This window comes from Homo sapiens, chromosome 6 (assembly GCF_000001405.40).
Source record: "Homo sapiens chromosome 6, GRCh38.p14 Primary Assembly".
Classification (NCBI taxonomy): domain Eukaryota; kingdom Metazoa; phylum Chordata; class Mammalia; order Primates; family Hominidae; genus Homo; species Homo sapiens.
Genome location: NC_000006.12, coordinates 107,202,138 through 107,218,623, shown reverse-complemented (window position 1 = coordinate 107,218,623; position 16,486 = coordinate 107,202,138). Strand labels below are relative to the sequence as shown.

Below are 16,486 nucleotides of genomic sequence, written 5' to 3'. Positions count from 1 at the left end.
CAGAGGCCAAACCAAGTCCTTGCTTTCATGGAACTTATAGTCTAGTAAAGGAGACAGACAATAACTCATTTAACAAATAAGTATATGAGTGGTCCAGTAATATCAAGGAAGAAAGGTTTAACGCAAGGTAAGGATATAGGAAATAATGGGGGAGGCTGGTAGACTATTAAAGATGAGTTGAAGTTTAAGTAGAGACCCAAAAGTAATGAGAAATCTAGCCATGCAAACGTCTAGAGAGTGTATCTGCAGAACAGCAAGTGCAGAGGCCTCCTAGAGGCCAAGAGGCATCTAGGAGGTGATGCCTAGAGTGTTTGGAACAGCTGGAGGCCATTGTAGTTCTGGTTTGTGTTTTTAAAGGTCACCCTGGCAGTTGGGTGAACAACAGACTGTAACCTTTGTCAAAGTCAAATAAAATGTATAGAGAGCCAAATATCTAAATTTAACAGTTTACTTGAGAGGAAAGAATTGCAATTCAGGGTGTACACACAGACCAAATGGTCTTTAGTATGTCTGAAGAACAGAGAGAAGGTTGGAGGTTTTATGAAAAGGAGAAATGTTACATATTGCTCTTTGAGAGAGTTCATCCGCACTAGTAAGGTTCTGGGGAGTTGGCAGATTTTGATTAGTGAATGATAGTGGTGGATAAAATTAGTCTTAGAGTTGCAGCAAGTTATTTCAGCAACTATTAGATAAAACTGATTTGAGATTATAGCAGGCAGCTTGAGCAGCCAGGCTTGTAGAGACTTACAGTTTTGGAGCAATGTTACATATTCTAAGTCCTTTTTCCTCCTGTGACTTCTCAACTCTGTTTTAGTCAGGTGTGACAAGATTGACCCAATTTCTGTGATCAACTTTCACACTTTGTACATATTTCATTTCGCATGTATGTAGGTTTATCTGTAGGATTAATTCCTGGACATGGGATTCCTGAGTCACAGGGCAAATTCACTTATAATTTTGATAGAGATTGTGGAATTTCCAGCTAGTTTCCACTTCCACCAGCCATATTTGAGAGGCCTATTTGGTCACAGCCTTACCATCACTAAGAGGGAAGCTGAGAGTTTTTTTTTTTTATTGGTCAGAAGTCACTAAATCAAGATGTTGACAGACTTGTATTCTTCCTGGAGTTCTATTGGAAAATCCATTTCCTTGCCTTCTCTAATTTCCATGTTTATTCCTTGGCTCATGGCCCCATCTCTCATCTTCAAATTTCTCTCTCCTGTCATTAAATTACCTTTTATGACTTTGACTGTGCCTCCCTCTTATAAGGACTACTATGATTACATTGAGCCCATCCAGTTAAACCAGAGTAATCCCCTCATTTCAAAATCCTGAATTTAATTACATCTGTATAGTCCCTTTTGCCTTGTAAGGTAACATTCATAGCTTCCAGGGATTAGGATATAGACATCTTTGCTTAAACATTGAGCATTGTTAGCCTACCTCAGGGAGATTCGCCGTTTGTCTGTGATAGGAAATATGAATTGTTTTCCTCATTGTCCTTTGTCTCCTAACATTGCCCGTGGTTTTGTGGTGGTTTTGCTGTTTTTGCCATTTAGAGTTTATCCTGGTAAATAGTACGAAATGCAGCTCAGACTTTATTTTTTCCAGATAGCTCTTTAGTTGTACCAGCACCATTTACTGAAAAGTTCAACTTCTTCCTAAAATATAGCAAATCCCTATATATAGTTTGGTTGCTTTCTGGACTTTCTATTTTGCTCCCTAGTCTGTCTCTCTATCTAAAAAGTACATATTTTTAAAATTTCTGAGATTTTACAGCATGTTATAGTATCTGGTAAGGCTTAGACAAAATTTGCTGTCCCTCTCCACCCCTCCCCCAACACACACACATTCATTGCTCTTCTTTTTCAAGATTTTCCTGGCTGCTCTTCTTTGTTTATTTTTCCCATATGAACTTCAGTTTGCCCAGTGTCAGAGGGAAAAGGTATTGTTAGTTTTATTGGAGTAACTTATGAGGTTGGATCTTACTATCTTTGAACATGATATGTCTTTATATTCATTCGAGTTATCTTTGTTCCTGCAATAGTATTTTAACATTTTCTTCATTCAGTTTTGCGCATTCAGTTTTGCGCGTTTCTAAGCTTATTCCCAGGTTTTGTTTTTTGTTTTTTGTTTTTTTTGGTTTTCTTTGAGATGGAGTCTGGCTCTGTTGTCCAGGTTAGAGTGCAGTGGCGCAATCTCAGCTCACTGCAACCTCTGCCTCCCTGGTTCGAGTGATCCTCCTGCCTCAGCCTCCCAAGTAGCTGGTACTACAGGAGTACTTCACCATGCCCGGCTAATTTTTGTATTTTTAGTAGAGACTGGGTTTCACCATGTTGGTCAGGCTGGTCTCAAACTCTTGACCTCAGGTGATCCGCCCCCTCACCCTCCCAAACTGCTGGGATTACAGGTGTGAGCCACCTCACCTGGCCTTATTCCTAGGTTTTTTTCTTTGTTTTGGGTTTTTTGTTGTATTTTGGGTTTTTTTGGACAGGGTCTCCCTTTGTTGCCCAGGCTGGAGTGCAGTGGCAAAATCTCAGCTCACTGCAGCCTCTGCTTCCCAAGCTCACGTCATTCTCCTGCCTCAGCCTCCCAAGTAGCTGGGACTATAGGCACAAGACACCACACCCAACTAATTTGTGTATTTTTGGTAGAGACGGGATTTCACCATGTTGCTCAGGCTGGTCTTTAACTCCTAAACTCAAGTAATCTGCCCACCTCTGCCTCCCAAAGTGCTGGGATTACAGGCATGAGCCACCGTTCCCGACCTTATTCCCAGTTTTTTAATCTTTTATTTTTGTATTCATAATGAAAGAAAAGATCCTATTTATAAAACTTACTGATTAGTTTTTATGTATGAAAGCTATAGTTAATACAATTTATTATGTTAATAATAAATTATTAATTTTAGACACTGCTACCTTACTGAATTATCTTCTAGTTTATAGTAGTTTTTTAGTTGAATCTCTTGATTTTCCCAGTATGCAGTTATATTGCCTTCAAACAGTAAGAGTTAAACTCATCTTTCCTAATTTGTTTACATCTACCTTTCTCTTATCTCTTCTATTACATTGTAAATATCAGTGGTGTTGTGTGCATCTCTGTCTTACTCCTGACATTAGTGAGAAAGGCTCATGTTTCCTCATAAAATATTTGCTGACTTTTGGGCTGACACACACACCCCTATCACATTAAAGAAATACACATCAGTTGCTATTTTTTTATTTTTTAGAGTTAGGGTTCTCACTGCGTCATCCAGGCTGGACAGCAGTGGCATGATTATGGCCCACTGCAGCCTTGAACTCCTGGGTTCAAGTGATCCTCCCTCCTCAGCCTCCTGAGTTGCTACGATTACAGGTGTGAGCCACTGCACCCAGCTCTTCCTATTTTATTCTGGACATTTTTTCTCATCAAGAATAGGAGTTGAATTTTGTCAAATACCTCTGCAGTATATATGGAGAGATAATATGGTTTTTCTTAGGTTTATTAATATATATTGTCACATTTTAAAATACATTCTCAGATTTATAAAATTAAGTATGTTATAATTTATACCTAATGTTTTGTAAAGAAGGTCTTAACATTATGCATTGTTTCTCTCCTGTGTGGCTTTTCTGTCATTATCCAATGCTGTGTTGCATATTTGCAACCATTGCCATAAGTGGAATTTTTTTTGTTGTTCAAATACTTAATAAAATTAAGGTGATGTTGGGCATGGTGGCACACACCTGTGATCCCAGTTACTTGGAAAGCTGAGGTGGGAGGATTGCTTGAGCTCAGGAGTTTGAGACCAGTCTGGGCAATATAGCAAGACCCCATCTCAAAAACATTGCATGAAGTTAAGCTAATAATTTGATTTGACCAGTGGGCTGAAGATGCCCCTCAACATGGCAGAAGAGGAGGGGGCTCTATTTCAGCTGACCTTTTGGTGACCACTTTTTTTTCTTAATATTTTTTATTTTGTCTCCAAGCAATTGTGAAAAGAGAAAGGATTATAGGATCAGGAGCAGGAAGAAAAGTGTATTGAGTTAATTAATCCTTCTGGGTAGGTTCCAGTTAGTTTGACGTTTCAAATAAATGCCATAAAATGAACATGGTTTTATATGTTTGCTTCAGCATTCCTTTCCTCAGAGCCCTACTGTCCAATGCTGAGCACTTAAATTGTGGCTAGTGAGGTGTTGTAAGTATAAAATGCACAGTGATTTTGAAAACTTAGTATAAAAAAAGTGTAAAGGCCGGGAGCGGTGGCTCACACTTGTAATCCCAGCACTTTGGGAGGCCGAGGCGGGCGGATCACGAGGTCAGGAGATCGAGACCACGGTGAAACCCCGTCTCTACTAAAAATACAAAAAATTAGCTGGGCGTGGTGGCGGGCGCCTGTAGTCCAGCTACTCGGAGAGGCTGAGGCAGGAGAATGGAGTGAACCCGGGAGGCAGAGCTTGCAGTGAGCCGAGATCGCGCCACTGCACTCCAGCCTGGGTGACACAGAGAGACTCCATCTCAAAAAAAAAAAAAGTGTAAAATAGCTCACTAATAATTTTCATATTCAATATATGTTTAAAATGATATTTGGATATATTGGGATAGATAAAATATGTCATTAAGATTAATTTTACCTGTTTCCACTTTTTTTTATATAGCCACTAGAAAAGTTTACATTACATATGTGGTTCACATTATATTTCCATTGGACAGCATTGGTCTAGAGGTGGTAGATGTGTATATATTTATTTATAAATTATATCCTCTTTTACACCTTGTTTCTTATGAGAATAAACTTTCATGAAGACTATAATATTCATTCTCCATTATAATAGATTACATCTTCTCTGATTTTTCTTTCTTTTGCTTTGTTTGTTTCTTTGTTTTGAGACAGTCTTGCTCTTTCGCCCAGGCTGGAGTGCAGGGGTGCAATCTCGACTCACTGCAACCTCTCCCACCCAGGTTCAAGTGATTCTCCTGCCTCGGCCTCCCAAGTAGCTGGGATTACAGGCACCTGCCACCACCCGGCTAATTTTTCTATTTTTAGTAGAGACAGGGTTTCACCATGTTAGCTAGGCTAGTCTTGAACTCCTGACCTCGTGATCCACCCACCTCAGCCTCCCAAAGTGCTGGGATTACAGGCATGAGCCACCATGCCCACCCTTCTTTTTCTTTTTTTAAGATAGAGGGTAAACTGGGCGCAGTGACTCATGCCTGTAATTCCAGCACTTTGGGAGGCCAAGGCAGGCAGATTACCTGAGACCAGGAGTTCAAGACCAGCCTGACCAACATGGTGAAACCCCATCTCTATTAAAAAAAAAAAAAAAAATTATCTGGGTGTGGTGGCTTATGCCTGTAATCCCAGTACTTTGGGAGGTCAAGGCTGGCAGATCACTTGAGCTCAGGAGTTCAAGACCAGCCTGGCCAACATGGAGAAACTCTGTATCTACAAAAAATACAAAAAATTAACTTGGTGTGGTGGTGCATGCCTGTGGTCCCAGCTACTTGGGAGGCTGAGATGGAAGGATCGCTTGAGCCCGGGAGGTCAAGGCTGCAGTGAGCCATGATCATGCCACTACGTTCCAGCTTGGGTGACAGAACAAGACCCTGTCTCAAATAAAAAGAGGGGGAGAGAAAGAGACAGGGTCTTGCTCTGTCATCCTGGCTGTAGTGCAGTGGTGCAATCATAGCTTACTTATAACCTTGAACTCCTGGGCTCAAGTGATCTTCCTGCCTCAGCCTCCTGAGTAGTCAGGACTACAGGGGCACACCCCCTTGCCTAGCTATTTTTTTTTTTTTTTTTTTGTAGAGTCTTGCTATGTTGCCCAGGCTGGTCTCGAACTCCTGGCCTCAAGCAATCCTCCTGCCTTGGCCTCCCAAAGTGCTTGGACTATAGGCATGAGCCACCATGCCCAGCCTTATTTTTCTATTTAATTATTTCTAAGAAAATGTAGTTCCTTCCATATGCCCTTGACATTTTCACATAAATTAAATGCAATAGGCTTCTTGTGCTTAATACCAGCACTTAAGAACTGATATTGACTATAGAAGGGAGTTAGTTTGAAGTCTTTCTACTTTTTCCCTTATCCTGTAGGGTATATTTTAATAGAAGTTCCCTAGCTTAGAATAAAATTTGCTTTAACATTTCTTTAACTTTCCCCCTATTACCATAAAAAAGCAGTTTTCCCACCACATTCTTTTTAGGTAGAGCTGAGGTTAGGCATCTTTTAGTTCTGTCTTGTTCCAATAGCCTGAGTGTTTTTGAATAGTTCGTTTCTTAACTTTTTTATTCTTCAAAAACAGAAACAATTAAATTACTCCTAAAGTCTTTTTTATCTTGGCTTTTGTTACATTTTTAGGAAAGTTATATCACAGATGATATTGGAATATCGACTTGGAAGGAGCAGACTTTTCTCTCCCATGGTGCCTTACTAGCAAAGAGCTGCCAAGCTGCAATGGAATTAGCAAAGCATGATGCTGAGGTTCAGAATATGGCATTTCAGTATGGGAAGCACATGGCCATGAGTCATAAGGTACTTTGCACACCCTTTATCTTTTTTCAGTACTTAAATAGCTAAAACGACACACAAGAAACCTTTTGCCATTTAATAAGCTTCTTTTATATTTCAAAAATGCTTATTGTGTGGTTCAAATCTGTCAGTCCTGGATGATTGTTATGTAATGTAAATAGTATAATTGCTAAGTATTGTGTAATTCTTACAGAAAGCCACAGTTTACTTGAACCATTTTTGTGATGTTTGTCTTTTCTTCCCACCTGAAAGGGTTCTTGAGAGAACTCTTACATATTATTAAATAACATATTTACAGACTGGAATATATTCACATAATGGAAGAATATTTGTCTTTTTTGTTACAGTTCCCTTATAGCTTTTTTTTTTTTTTTTTTGAGATGGAGTCTCGCTCTGTCACCCAGGCTGGAGTGCAGTGGTGCAATCTCAGCTCACTGCAACGCAACCTCTGCCTCCCAGGTTCAAGCGATTCTCCTGCCTCAGCCTCCTGAGTAGCTGGGATTACAGGCACATGCCACCACGCCTGGCTAATTTTTGTATTTTTAGTAGAGACGAGGTTTCACCATGTTGGTCAGGATGGTCTCGAATTCCTGACCTCGTGATCTGCCCGCCTTGGCCTCCCAAAGTGCTGGGATTACAGGTGTGAGCCACCACGCCTGGCCCCTTATAGCTCTTTATATAAAACATGTTATGAAAAGTTAATAAAATTCAGAAATATAGTGAATAAAATTGAAAGCTTTAATTTTAATAACTAATTCTTTGAATGGGCATATGAAATCTAAAATATCCCAAGATTAGCTGCTGTGTTGTTGCCTCTCTCTATATATATAATTTTAAATTTAATTTAATATATACTATTCAGATGTTACTTAAATAGTTCATAAGGGGGGGAATATATACATATATAATATCTCCAGGTGAGCTTTTTGCATATTTTATTTAATCTTAGATTAGTTTATTAAGCAATTCTATTTATTAAATCTTTATCTAAATCTTTTCCTTTAACTTAAAAAGTAAAATAAAGACCACCACCCACTAGAAAAGGAATGTATTAGGGAATAATTCTGGAGAATTTTACAGGTTATTGTTAATCATCTGAAATTTTTTTTTTTTTTTTTGAGACGGAGTTTTGCTCTCGCCCAGAGGGGAGTGCAGTGGCGCAATCTCGGCTCACTGCAACCTCTGTCTCCCAGGTTCAAGCGATTCTCCTGCTTCAGCCTCCCTAGTAGCTGGAATGTGTGTGCAAACCCCCCCCAATTTTTGTTTTTTTAGTAGAGATGGGGTTTCGCCATTTTGACCAGGCTGGTCTCAAACTCCTGACCTCAGGTGATCCACCCATCCCAGCCTCCCAAACTGCTGAGATTACAGGCGTAAGCCACTGCACCTGGCCTGAAATATTCTTTTGTTTATTAAAGTATATCTAAAAACTGCATTCCTTAAGCTTCATATTTCACTGCATTAACTGGTACTTTCTGAATATAACTAAAACATACTAGTGTATATACATTTCACTAATTTACTCATTTAATTGCTTCTTGTAGATAAATTCTGATGTCCAGCCTTTTATTAAAGAAAAGACCAGTGACTCCATGACTTTTAATCTAAACTCAGCTCCTGTAGTCTTACATCAGGAATTTCTTGGAAGAGATTTGTGGATTAAACAGATCGGAGAGGTAAAATGAAATTACTCCTGTTTTAGGTACCAGTAGTAATTAGTGGATTTTAGAACATAATTGATATTTCTTGGTGATATATGGCTATAGATGAGCCTTAGGCATATTCACGTAACAGGTAAAATCCTTTCTTTGTAATCTTCGTTTTTAAGAGGTAAAAGATTAGTTAAAGTTAGAGATTGCAGTACTGAATTTTTCTATTATCTGAGTTCTTAGAATACTGCAACACAAAACTAGTGCCTGTGGTGAATGCTAATTAACTCAGATGACTTTTTTTTTCTAAAGGCTTTCAAAAATTGGGCTATGGTAATAGCACCACCCTATAACTGACTGCAATTTCCCATCTGTGGACTCTCGCACAAGCTGCAGAATTCCAGGAGCTCCGTCTGTCAGCTCATTGGGTTATTTTAAAACAAACTTGGACCCTGAATACTTGTTCTGAGGCATTATCAAAGCGGGGGGGAAAAAAGCATGGCGAAGTGGGAGGGGTAAAGGGGCTTGAATTGGGTGAATTTCTCATTTTGGCAGATGAGAGGGAACTTTTTTGGTTTTCTTTTAATTCAGAAACTCTAGTGCAAAACTTCTTGCCTTTTTAGCCAAAGCCTCTTGGAATTTATTTAACTTCGTGGCTGTAATTGGTTGGGTTAATCTGAGGCTCTGGACAGAGAAACCAGGCACAGCTGAGGGTGGGGGTAGCCACCATCCTTAAAGGAGAGAGCATGGGTGGGCGCAGTGGCTCATGCCTGTAATCCCAGCACTTTGAGATGCCAAGGCAGGAGGATCACTTGAGCTCTTGAGTTCAAGACCAACAACATAGTGAAACCTCATCTCTACAAAATTAAAGTTTTTGAAATTTAAAAAAAAAAAAAAAAAAAAGCTTAGAGCCTAAGTGAGTATCTGCGTTCTGAAAGATTTCCCTCCTCCCAACCCTTATTGATTCTCAAAATGCTGGCTGCCAACTTAAAATTCCTCATATTCACCAAGTAGAAAACTGGAGGATTTCTTTCTGAAGAAACTGTCAAACTCAGGAGAAAAAGCCTTGCAGATGTGGATATTTGGGGCCTCCTCAGTAAACATGGCATATCCCTGAGCAGTCCTCCTACAGCAAGACCCACCACTTGACAAGCCTCAGAGGATCTAAGTGCCCAGAATATCTGCTGCCTTACTCTGAAGCAGAATAGGAAAAGAGGACCACTGGGCATTTGAGAAAAGCTGCTTCCACGAAACAGCAAGTCAAAAACAAACTGATAAAAAGGGAACTTAGCGGAAATAGAGACAATGCAATCAAAGGCAGATGTTTTTCAAAGCACTATAATCAATATACTTGACAAGGAAGGATATTAAATCCATGGTATAATAATAGATGATCCATTAAAAAGGACAATTCAAGAATAAAAATTAGAATTATAAAATATAAAAATATGATTGCAGAATTTTTTAATCAGAAGAATGGAAGATACAAATGAAAAAATCTCCCAGAAAAGTGGACAAAAAAGATGATTTTTTAAAAAAAGAAAAAAAATAAGAAAACTAAGGACTCTTTCAGGAAACCTTGTATCTATTAAGAGTCACAGGCCAGGCTGGGCACAGTGGCTCACACCTGTAATCCCAACACTTTGGGAGGCCAAGGCAAGTGGATCGCCTGAGGTCAGGAGTTCGAGACCAGCCTGGCCAACATGGTGAAACGCTGTCTCTGCTAAAAATACAAAAATTAGCTGGGCGTGGTGGTGCACACCTATAAGGCAGAGGCTGCAGTGAGCGAGATTGCGCCATTGCACTCTAGCCTGAGCGACAAGAGCTAAACTCCGTCCCCAAAAAAAAAAAAAAAAGTCACAGGCCAGGTGTGGTGGCTCATGTCTGTAATCCCAGTAATCTGAGCACTTGGGAGGCCAAGGGGGTGGATCACTTGAGGTCAGGAACTCAAGACCAGCCTGGCCAACATGGTAAAACCCTGTCTCTACTGAAAATACAAAAAGTAGCTGGGTGTGGTGGTGCACGCCTGTAATCTCAGCTTCTCAGGTGGCTGAGGCACAAGAATCACTTGAACCTGGGAGGTAGAGGTTGCAGTGAGCCAAGATGGAGCCACTGCACTCCAGTCTGAGCGACACAGTGAGACTGTCTTTAAAAAAAAAAAAAAAAAAAAAAAAAAAAAAGGCCAGGCATGGTGGCTTACACCTGTAATCCCAGCACTTTGGGAGGCCGAGGCAGGTGGATCACCAGAGGTCAGGAGTTCGAGACCAGCCTGACCAACATGGTGAAACCCCGTCTCTACTAAATACAAAAAATTAGCCAGGCTTGGTGACTCATGTCTCTAATCCCAGCTACTCGGGAGGCTGAGGCAGGAGAATCCCTTGAACCCAGGATGCAGAGGTTGCATTGAGCCAAGATTGCGCCACCGTACTCCAGCCTGGGCAACAAGAGTGAAACTCTGTTTCATAAAAAAAAAAAAAAAAAAAAAAACAAGTCATAGACAGAGAAAACTAAAAACAGAGGTAAGAAAATTAACACATTTTTAAAAATAAAAATAATGGCTGGACATGGTGGCTCATGCCTGTAATCCCAGCACTTTGAGAAGCCGAGGTGGGCAGATCACTTGAGGTCAGGAGTTTGAGACCAGCCTGGCCAACATGGCGAAACCCCATCTCTATTAAAAATACAAAAGTTAGCCAGGCATGGTGGCCCGGGCCTGTAATCCCAGCTACTCAGGAGGCTGAGGCCCTAGAATCACTTGAACACTGGAGGCAGAGGTTGCAGTGAGCTGATTGCACAACTGCACTCCATCCTGGCCAGCAGAGTGAGACTCTGTCTCACAAAAAAAAAAAAAAAAAAAGACACTTTACTGAGTTTATTTTAATCTTCTAAATTGTAATGTACATTTTTATGTAAAGCTTTATAAGATAACCATCTTGTTCTGTGAATGCCTCCTAGTCAGAAATAGGGAACACAATTTGCATAACACCTAGGAGAGACATTCCACCCTAAATCTCAAGGAGGTTGCTTATTAATCCTGAAATTAGTTCTCTTTCTGATTTTTTCATGTTATTTACCCTCCTGGATATCTTTGAGATCCTTTCCTTCCCTCCCCTAAAGCCCTCTCCTTCAGTTTTGAATTTGATTGCAAGATCCTTAACAATAATAGCAAACTCAGGCCGGGTGTGGTGGCTCATGCCTGTAATCCCAGCACTTTGGGAGGCCGAGGCAGGCGGATCACGAGGTCAGGAAATCGAGACCATCCTGGCTAACATGGTGAAACCCCGTCTCTAGTAAAAATACAAAAAATTAGTCGGGCACAGTGGCGGGCGCCTGTAGTCCCAGCTACTCGGGAGGCTAAGGCAGGAGAATCACTTGAACCCAGGAAGCGGAGGTTGCAGTCAGCTGAGATCGCGCCACTGCACTCGAGCCTGGGCGATAGAACAAGACTCCGTCTAAAAAAAAAAAAAAACAATAATAGCAAATTCATCTTTGAATTACCCATACTACCTGCCACAGTGGCTTACTTGGAGTAATTACCAAATTAATATTTGTCAAAAAGTGAGTGTGGTGTGGTCTTGCAGGTTGAGACTGTTTGGTGGCAGCCCGGTTTTGTTAGAGTTAAGTTGGTATAACAGAAATGGCCCACAGAGGACCAGGATTTGGAAGGTCAGATCAAGATTGTCCAGCCCTTATGAGCTGCATGCAGCCCAGAACAGTTTTGAAAGTGGCCCAACACAAATTCATAAACTTTCTTCAAACATTATGAAGGTTTTTTTGCAATTTTTTTTTTTTAGCTCATCAGCTACCATTAGTGTTCATGTGTTTTATGTGTGGCCCAAGACAATTCTTCTTCCAGTGTGGTCCAGGGAAGCAAAAAGATTGGACACTCCTGGTCTAGATTCTAATTTGGACTCTGCTAGCATCTAAGTAAACTTAATCACATTCTCTCATATCCCCATTATTCTTTTCTGTAAAATGATGGCATTAAACTAGATCTTTTCCAAAGTCCCTTTCAGCTCTAAAATAAATCCAAGAACTAGTTCTCTTAGACAAGAGATGCATTATAAGAAAAATATTTATCTCTATTAGAAACAGGCCGGGCATGGTGGCTCACACCTGTAATCCCAGCACTTTGGGAGGCCGAGGTGGGCGGATCACTTGAGGTCAGCAGTTCCAGACCAGCCTGTCCAACATGGTGAAACCCGGTCTGTACTAAAAATACAAAAATTAGCTGGGCGTGGTGGCGCATGCCTGTAATCCCAGCTACTCGGGAGGCTGAGACAGGAGAATCACTTGAGCCCAGGAGGCAGAGGTTGCAGTGAGCCAAGATCGCACCAGTGCACTCCAGCCTGGGTGACAGACTGAGATTCTGTCCCCCGCAAAAAAAGAAACTTTTACAAGTTTTAACACTGAGAAACAGAAAAATCTTGCTGTCAATGATGGAAGTCACCTGTGATTTCTTATTACCACATTTAAAATTACTTCTTTACTCTGCCCAGGCAGGTTTGTGTCTCATCTACTGTTTTGATTTCCTGCTTGGAAAGACTGAGAATTATTGACTAGACAAGGAAGCCAGGAGGTGACATACTCTCGATACCCGTTCAGCACCATTGTGAAGCTAGGAGCAAGAGCACCCCTGGGATTTTCCTTATCAGGCTGTGCCACCTCTTCTCCAGCAGCTCCTTTCTCCTGAAAAATCTTAGGATTAGGTAGCCCTCTTCCATCACAACTATAGGCCTATGGATGCATGTGCATGTTGACACACACGCACACAACCACACTCTTTCACAAAAGGCAGTTAAGACCGGAAACAGCTGAAAAACATTTGCTGAGCATTTTCTCCATACTAAATTCTACAGATCTCTCCCTGCCTTAATTTTAAATTTAAATTTGTAGCTGCTGAGAAATAATGATCAGGAAAAAATACTGTTAGTGAATGGGTTATTCACCCTGGGGAGGTGAAGTCATTACTCAGTTATCATTTTGATTCCTAATAAAAGAAAGTAGAATCCTTCAGAGCACCACAGAGCTCTGACTCTCTCAGGGAGTCCAGGGGCTATTGCAGGTCAGCAAGCTTTATTTTTAATGATCCTTCTAGTTTTCTGCTGCCACTATAAGTCACCTGAAGAAATAAGAATTATGGTTAGATTTTCTTGGCTATTCCTAATAGTACTGAAATGTCACTTGGGCTTGTGACATTCTGACACTGTCATGAAATACCTTAAGTGTACTACAAATTACCATTGCTAAGCTGTAACTCGCTTGTCCCTAGATAGCTTACTATTGCTCCTTATTCAGAAAGTAAAACAAAGACTGCTAGGCAAGACTGGTGTGCGTGAAAATAACACATGCCTATTCTTAAACAAAAGAGAAAATGCACATGCAGATTCCTCATTAATAACACATGTGATACTCTTCTAGTTCTTTAAGACATTTTTAGTGGTTTCAAAAGGAATAATATTAATATCATCCTCTATCATAGAAGGTATACAATGTAGGCATTTGAAAGAACTATATGCATGACCACAAAGACTATGAAATGGCTCTAGATATCTCCTAAATTAAAATATTTCTTAAGGCTTTCTGTTGCACTTAAGGAAACAAAGTGCTTGACTACAGGAGATACAGAAATAAGTTGCCTAAAGGTTGTCTATGGCCCAGTAGAGAGGAGATAAGATAAATACATAAATATAGAAACATAAGGAATACTGTGATTCATGCCACTTGGGGAGCATAGAGGAAAGACAATTGATGTTCAGTTGGAAAAGTCAAGAAAGAGGTTTATGAAGTCGGTATTAATAATATGTGAGATAGTCCTTAAAGAAGATTGGATAGCAAAGATGAGAATGGGGGCTTCCTAGGCAAAGGAAACCATGAAAAAGTGATACAGGTGCAGGCATGCAATGTTGTCAAATTAAAAAAAAGTGTCTTAATTTGGGTGGAATGTGAAAAACATAGGGTAGTATCAGGGACAGATGAAGAATTGCTCTGAAATAGTAATAACTATATTTAAAAGACTGGTTTATGTAAAAATATGTACATGAATGTTCAGATCAGCAATATTCACAATATCCAAAAGGTAGAAATAGCCCAGTGTCTATCAACTGATAAATGGAGAAGCAAAATGTGGTATATCCATACAATGGAATATTACTCAGCCATGGAAAGGAATGAGGTATTGATACATGCTGCAACATGTATGGGCCTTTAAAACATTATATTATAAGCAGTGCGCGGTGGCTTATGCCTGTAATCCCAGCACTTTGGGAAGCCGAGGGGGGCGGATCACGAGGTCAGGAGATCGAGACCATCCTGGCCAACATGGTGAAACCCCATCTCTACTAAAAATACAGAAATTTGCCGGGTGTGGTAATAGGCACCCGTAGTCCCAGCTACTTGGGAGGCTGAGGCAGGAGAATCACTTGAACCCGGGAGGCGGAGGTTGCAGTGAGCCTCGATCATGCTACTGCACTCCAGCGTGGGGACAGAGTGAGACTCTGTCTCAAAAAAAAAAAAAATTATAATAAGTGAAAGAAGCCAGATGCAAAAGGCCACATATCATATGATTCCATTTATGTGAAACATCCAGAGTAGACAAATCATAGAGACAGAAAAAAGACTGGTGGTTGCCCAGGGTTGGGGAGAGGCGAAGCGGGAGAGACTGTTTAATGGGTACAGGTCTCCTTCTGGGGTAATAAAAATGTTCGGCACTTGTTAGTGGTGATGATTGCATAACATTGTGAATGTACTAAATGCCACTGAATTATACTGTTTTAAATGATTAAAATGATTAATTTTATGTTATGTAAATTTTACCTAAATTTTTAAAAGACTTTGGGATGTTTGCCTATGGCAAACCAACTTGATGAAGAAGTCATGAAGCAGACATTGAAAGTTTTTGAGCCTGATATGATCAAGGTCTGAGCTGCGAGGGAGGTAAATCTGGCTATATTATATACGATGAAAGGAACAAAGAGATACTAAAAGCAAGGAGATCAATTAAGAAGTTTTTGGAAACCCATTGATAAGCACAAGAGAAAAGCCCAATCAGAGTGTTGGCAATGAGAATGGGAAGATAAGGAGGTTAAGCGTAAAACTCATTTCAGAGAAAATATATGGGACTAGAAAACTGATCTGATAGGGAGAGGCTGACAGGTGTGGACTGGGGAGTGGCACTCAGAGGCTAAAACAAGGATTTTGGACTAGGATAACAGAAAAAATTAAGCCATTAATAGAAATAGGAAAGTTAAGTGGAAAGACTGGTTTAACTTAGGTTCTTGACATGGTGAGTTTGAAGTACTCCATCAAGGTTGATGGCCGTTGCCTTGGGAACTTGCTGCTGGAGGAAGCAACTAAATTCTACTATTAGCCTGATTTCCTTAATCATGGCCTTTCTGAGACCTGAGTCGATTTTTTTTCCTGGTCACACTGTGCAATTTAAAATTTCATGTTTCTTCCAGATTCCAAGAGAGCAGCATAGCAAGAAAAACAGGTTACAAAGAAATAACAAGACCTCTGAGCAGAGAGAGATTTGTTATGTAGATAATACAAGTAGTATCTCCTCGCCTTACTCTAGTATATCTAGTATCTCCTTGCCTCTCTCCTTTCTAAAATTGGACACCATAGCCTTCTACATCTGCTGTTGCTTCTTTTTCTCCAGTGAACCAAAGGAACAGAATATGAGAAAATTAATTCCTTAGACATCCACGCTTGCCTCTAAAAGTCGATTAGCTTTCCCAGTTGAAAGAGATGGTAAAATCAGGTACCCAAGCAAAGCAGTCCAGGTGTGAATGGTGTTAACTTCCTTGCACATGCCTTCTGCGCTCTCTTATTCATAGAGAATGACCAAGATAGCAGAGAAAAGGCCTGCCCTGTTCCTTTATATTCTGCTATCTTTCCAGCTCTGTAACTAGAAAGCCGAGCAACACAAGGCCTGCTTCTACCAAACCAATACTCAGTGGGCTGCTCTAACTTCCGGGCTAGCAGATGTAGTAGATTTCTGATTTGTGACCCTTCTTTCTGTTATCCCCATACACTACACACTGTTTTGTTTTGTTTTGTTTTGTTTTGTTTGTTTTTTTTTTGCAGAGATGGCCAGCCTGAACTGTATTTTAAATAGCATTATAGGGCTGGGTGCAGTGGCTCATGCCTGTAATCCCAGCACTTTGGGAGGCCAAGGCGGGAGGATTGCTTGAGGCCAGGAGTTCAAGACCAGCTAGGCAACATAGCAAGATCCCATCTCTACTAAAAACTTTTAAAAGTAGCCAGGTGTGGTGGTGTGTACCTGTAATCCCAGCTATTCAGGAGGCTGAGGCTAGAGAATCTCTT

At 40.5% G+C, this 16,486-nt stretch overlaps 1 protein-coding gene across 14 annotated transcripts in view; it reads left to right on the top strand.

Moving 5' to 3' along the window:
• The window catches only part of PDSS2 (decaprenyl diphosphate synthase subunit 2), a 307,003-nt gene that overhangs the window by 240,941 nt on the left and 49,576 nt on the right, over positions 1-16,486 (top strand). For 8 of the 14 annotated variants that reach the window (XM_011535960.4, XM_047419100.1, XM_047419098.1 and 5 more), the window contains 2 exons: positions 6,342-6,515; positions 8,054-8,185. The exons of 3 other annotated variants lie outside the window; for them this stretch is intronic. In XM_011535960.4, the coding sequence (XP_011534262.1) occupies positions 6,342-6,515; positions 8,054-8,185 (306 nt within the window). The remainder of the gene's footprint in view (positions 1-6,341; positions 6,516-8,053; positions 8,186-16,486) is intronic. 3 more of the 14 variants (XM_047419099.1, XM_011535959.4, XM_011535957.4) reach the window with 1 other exon arrangement.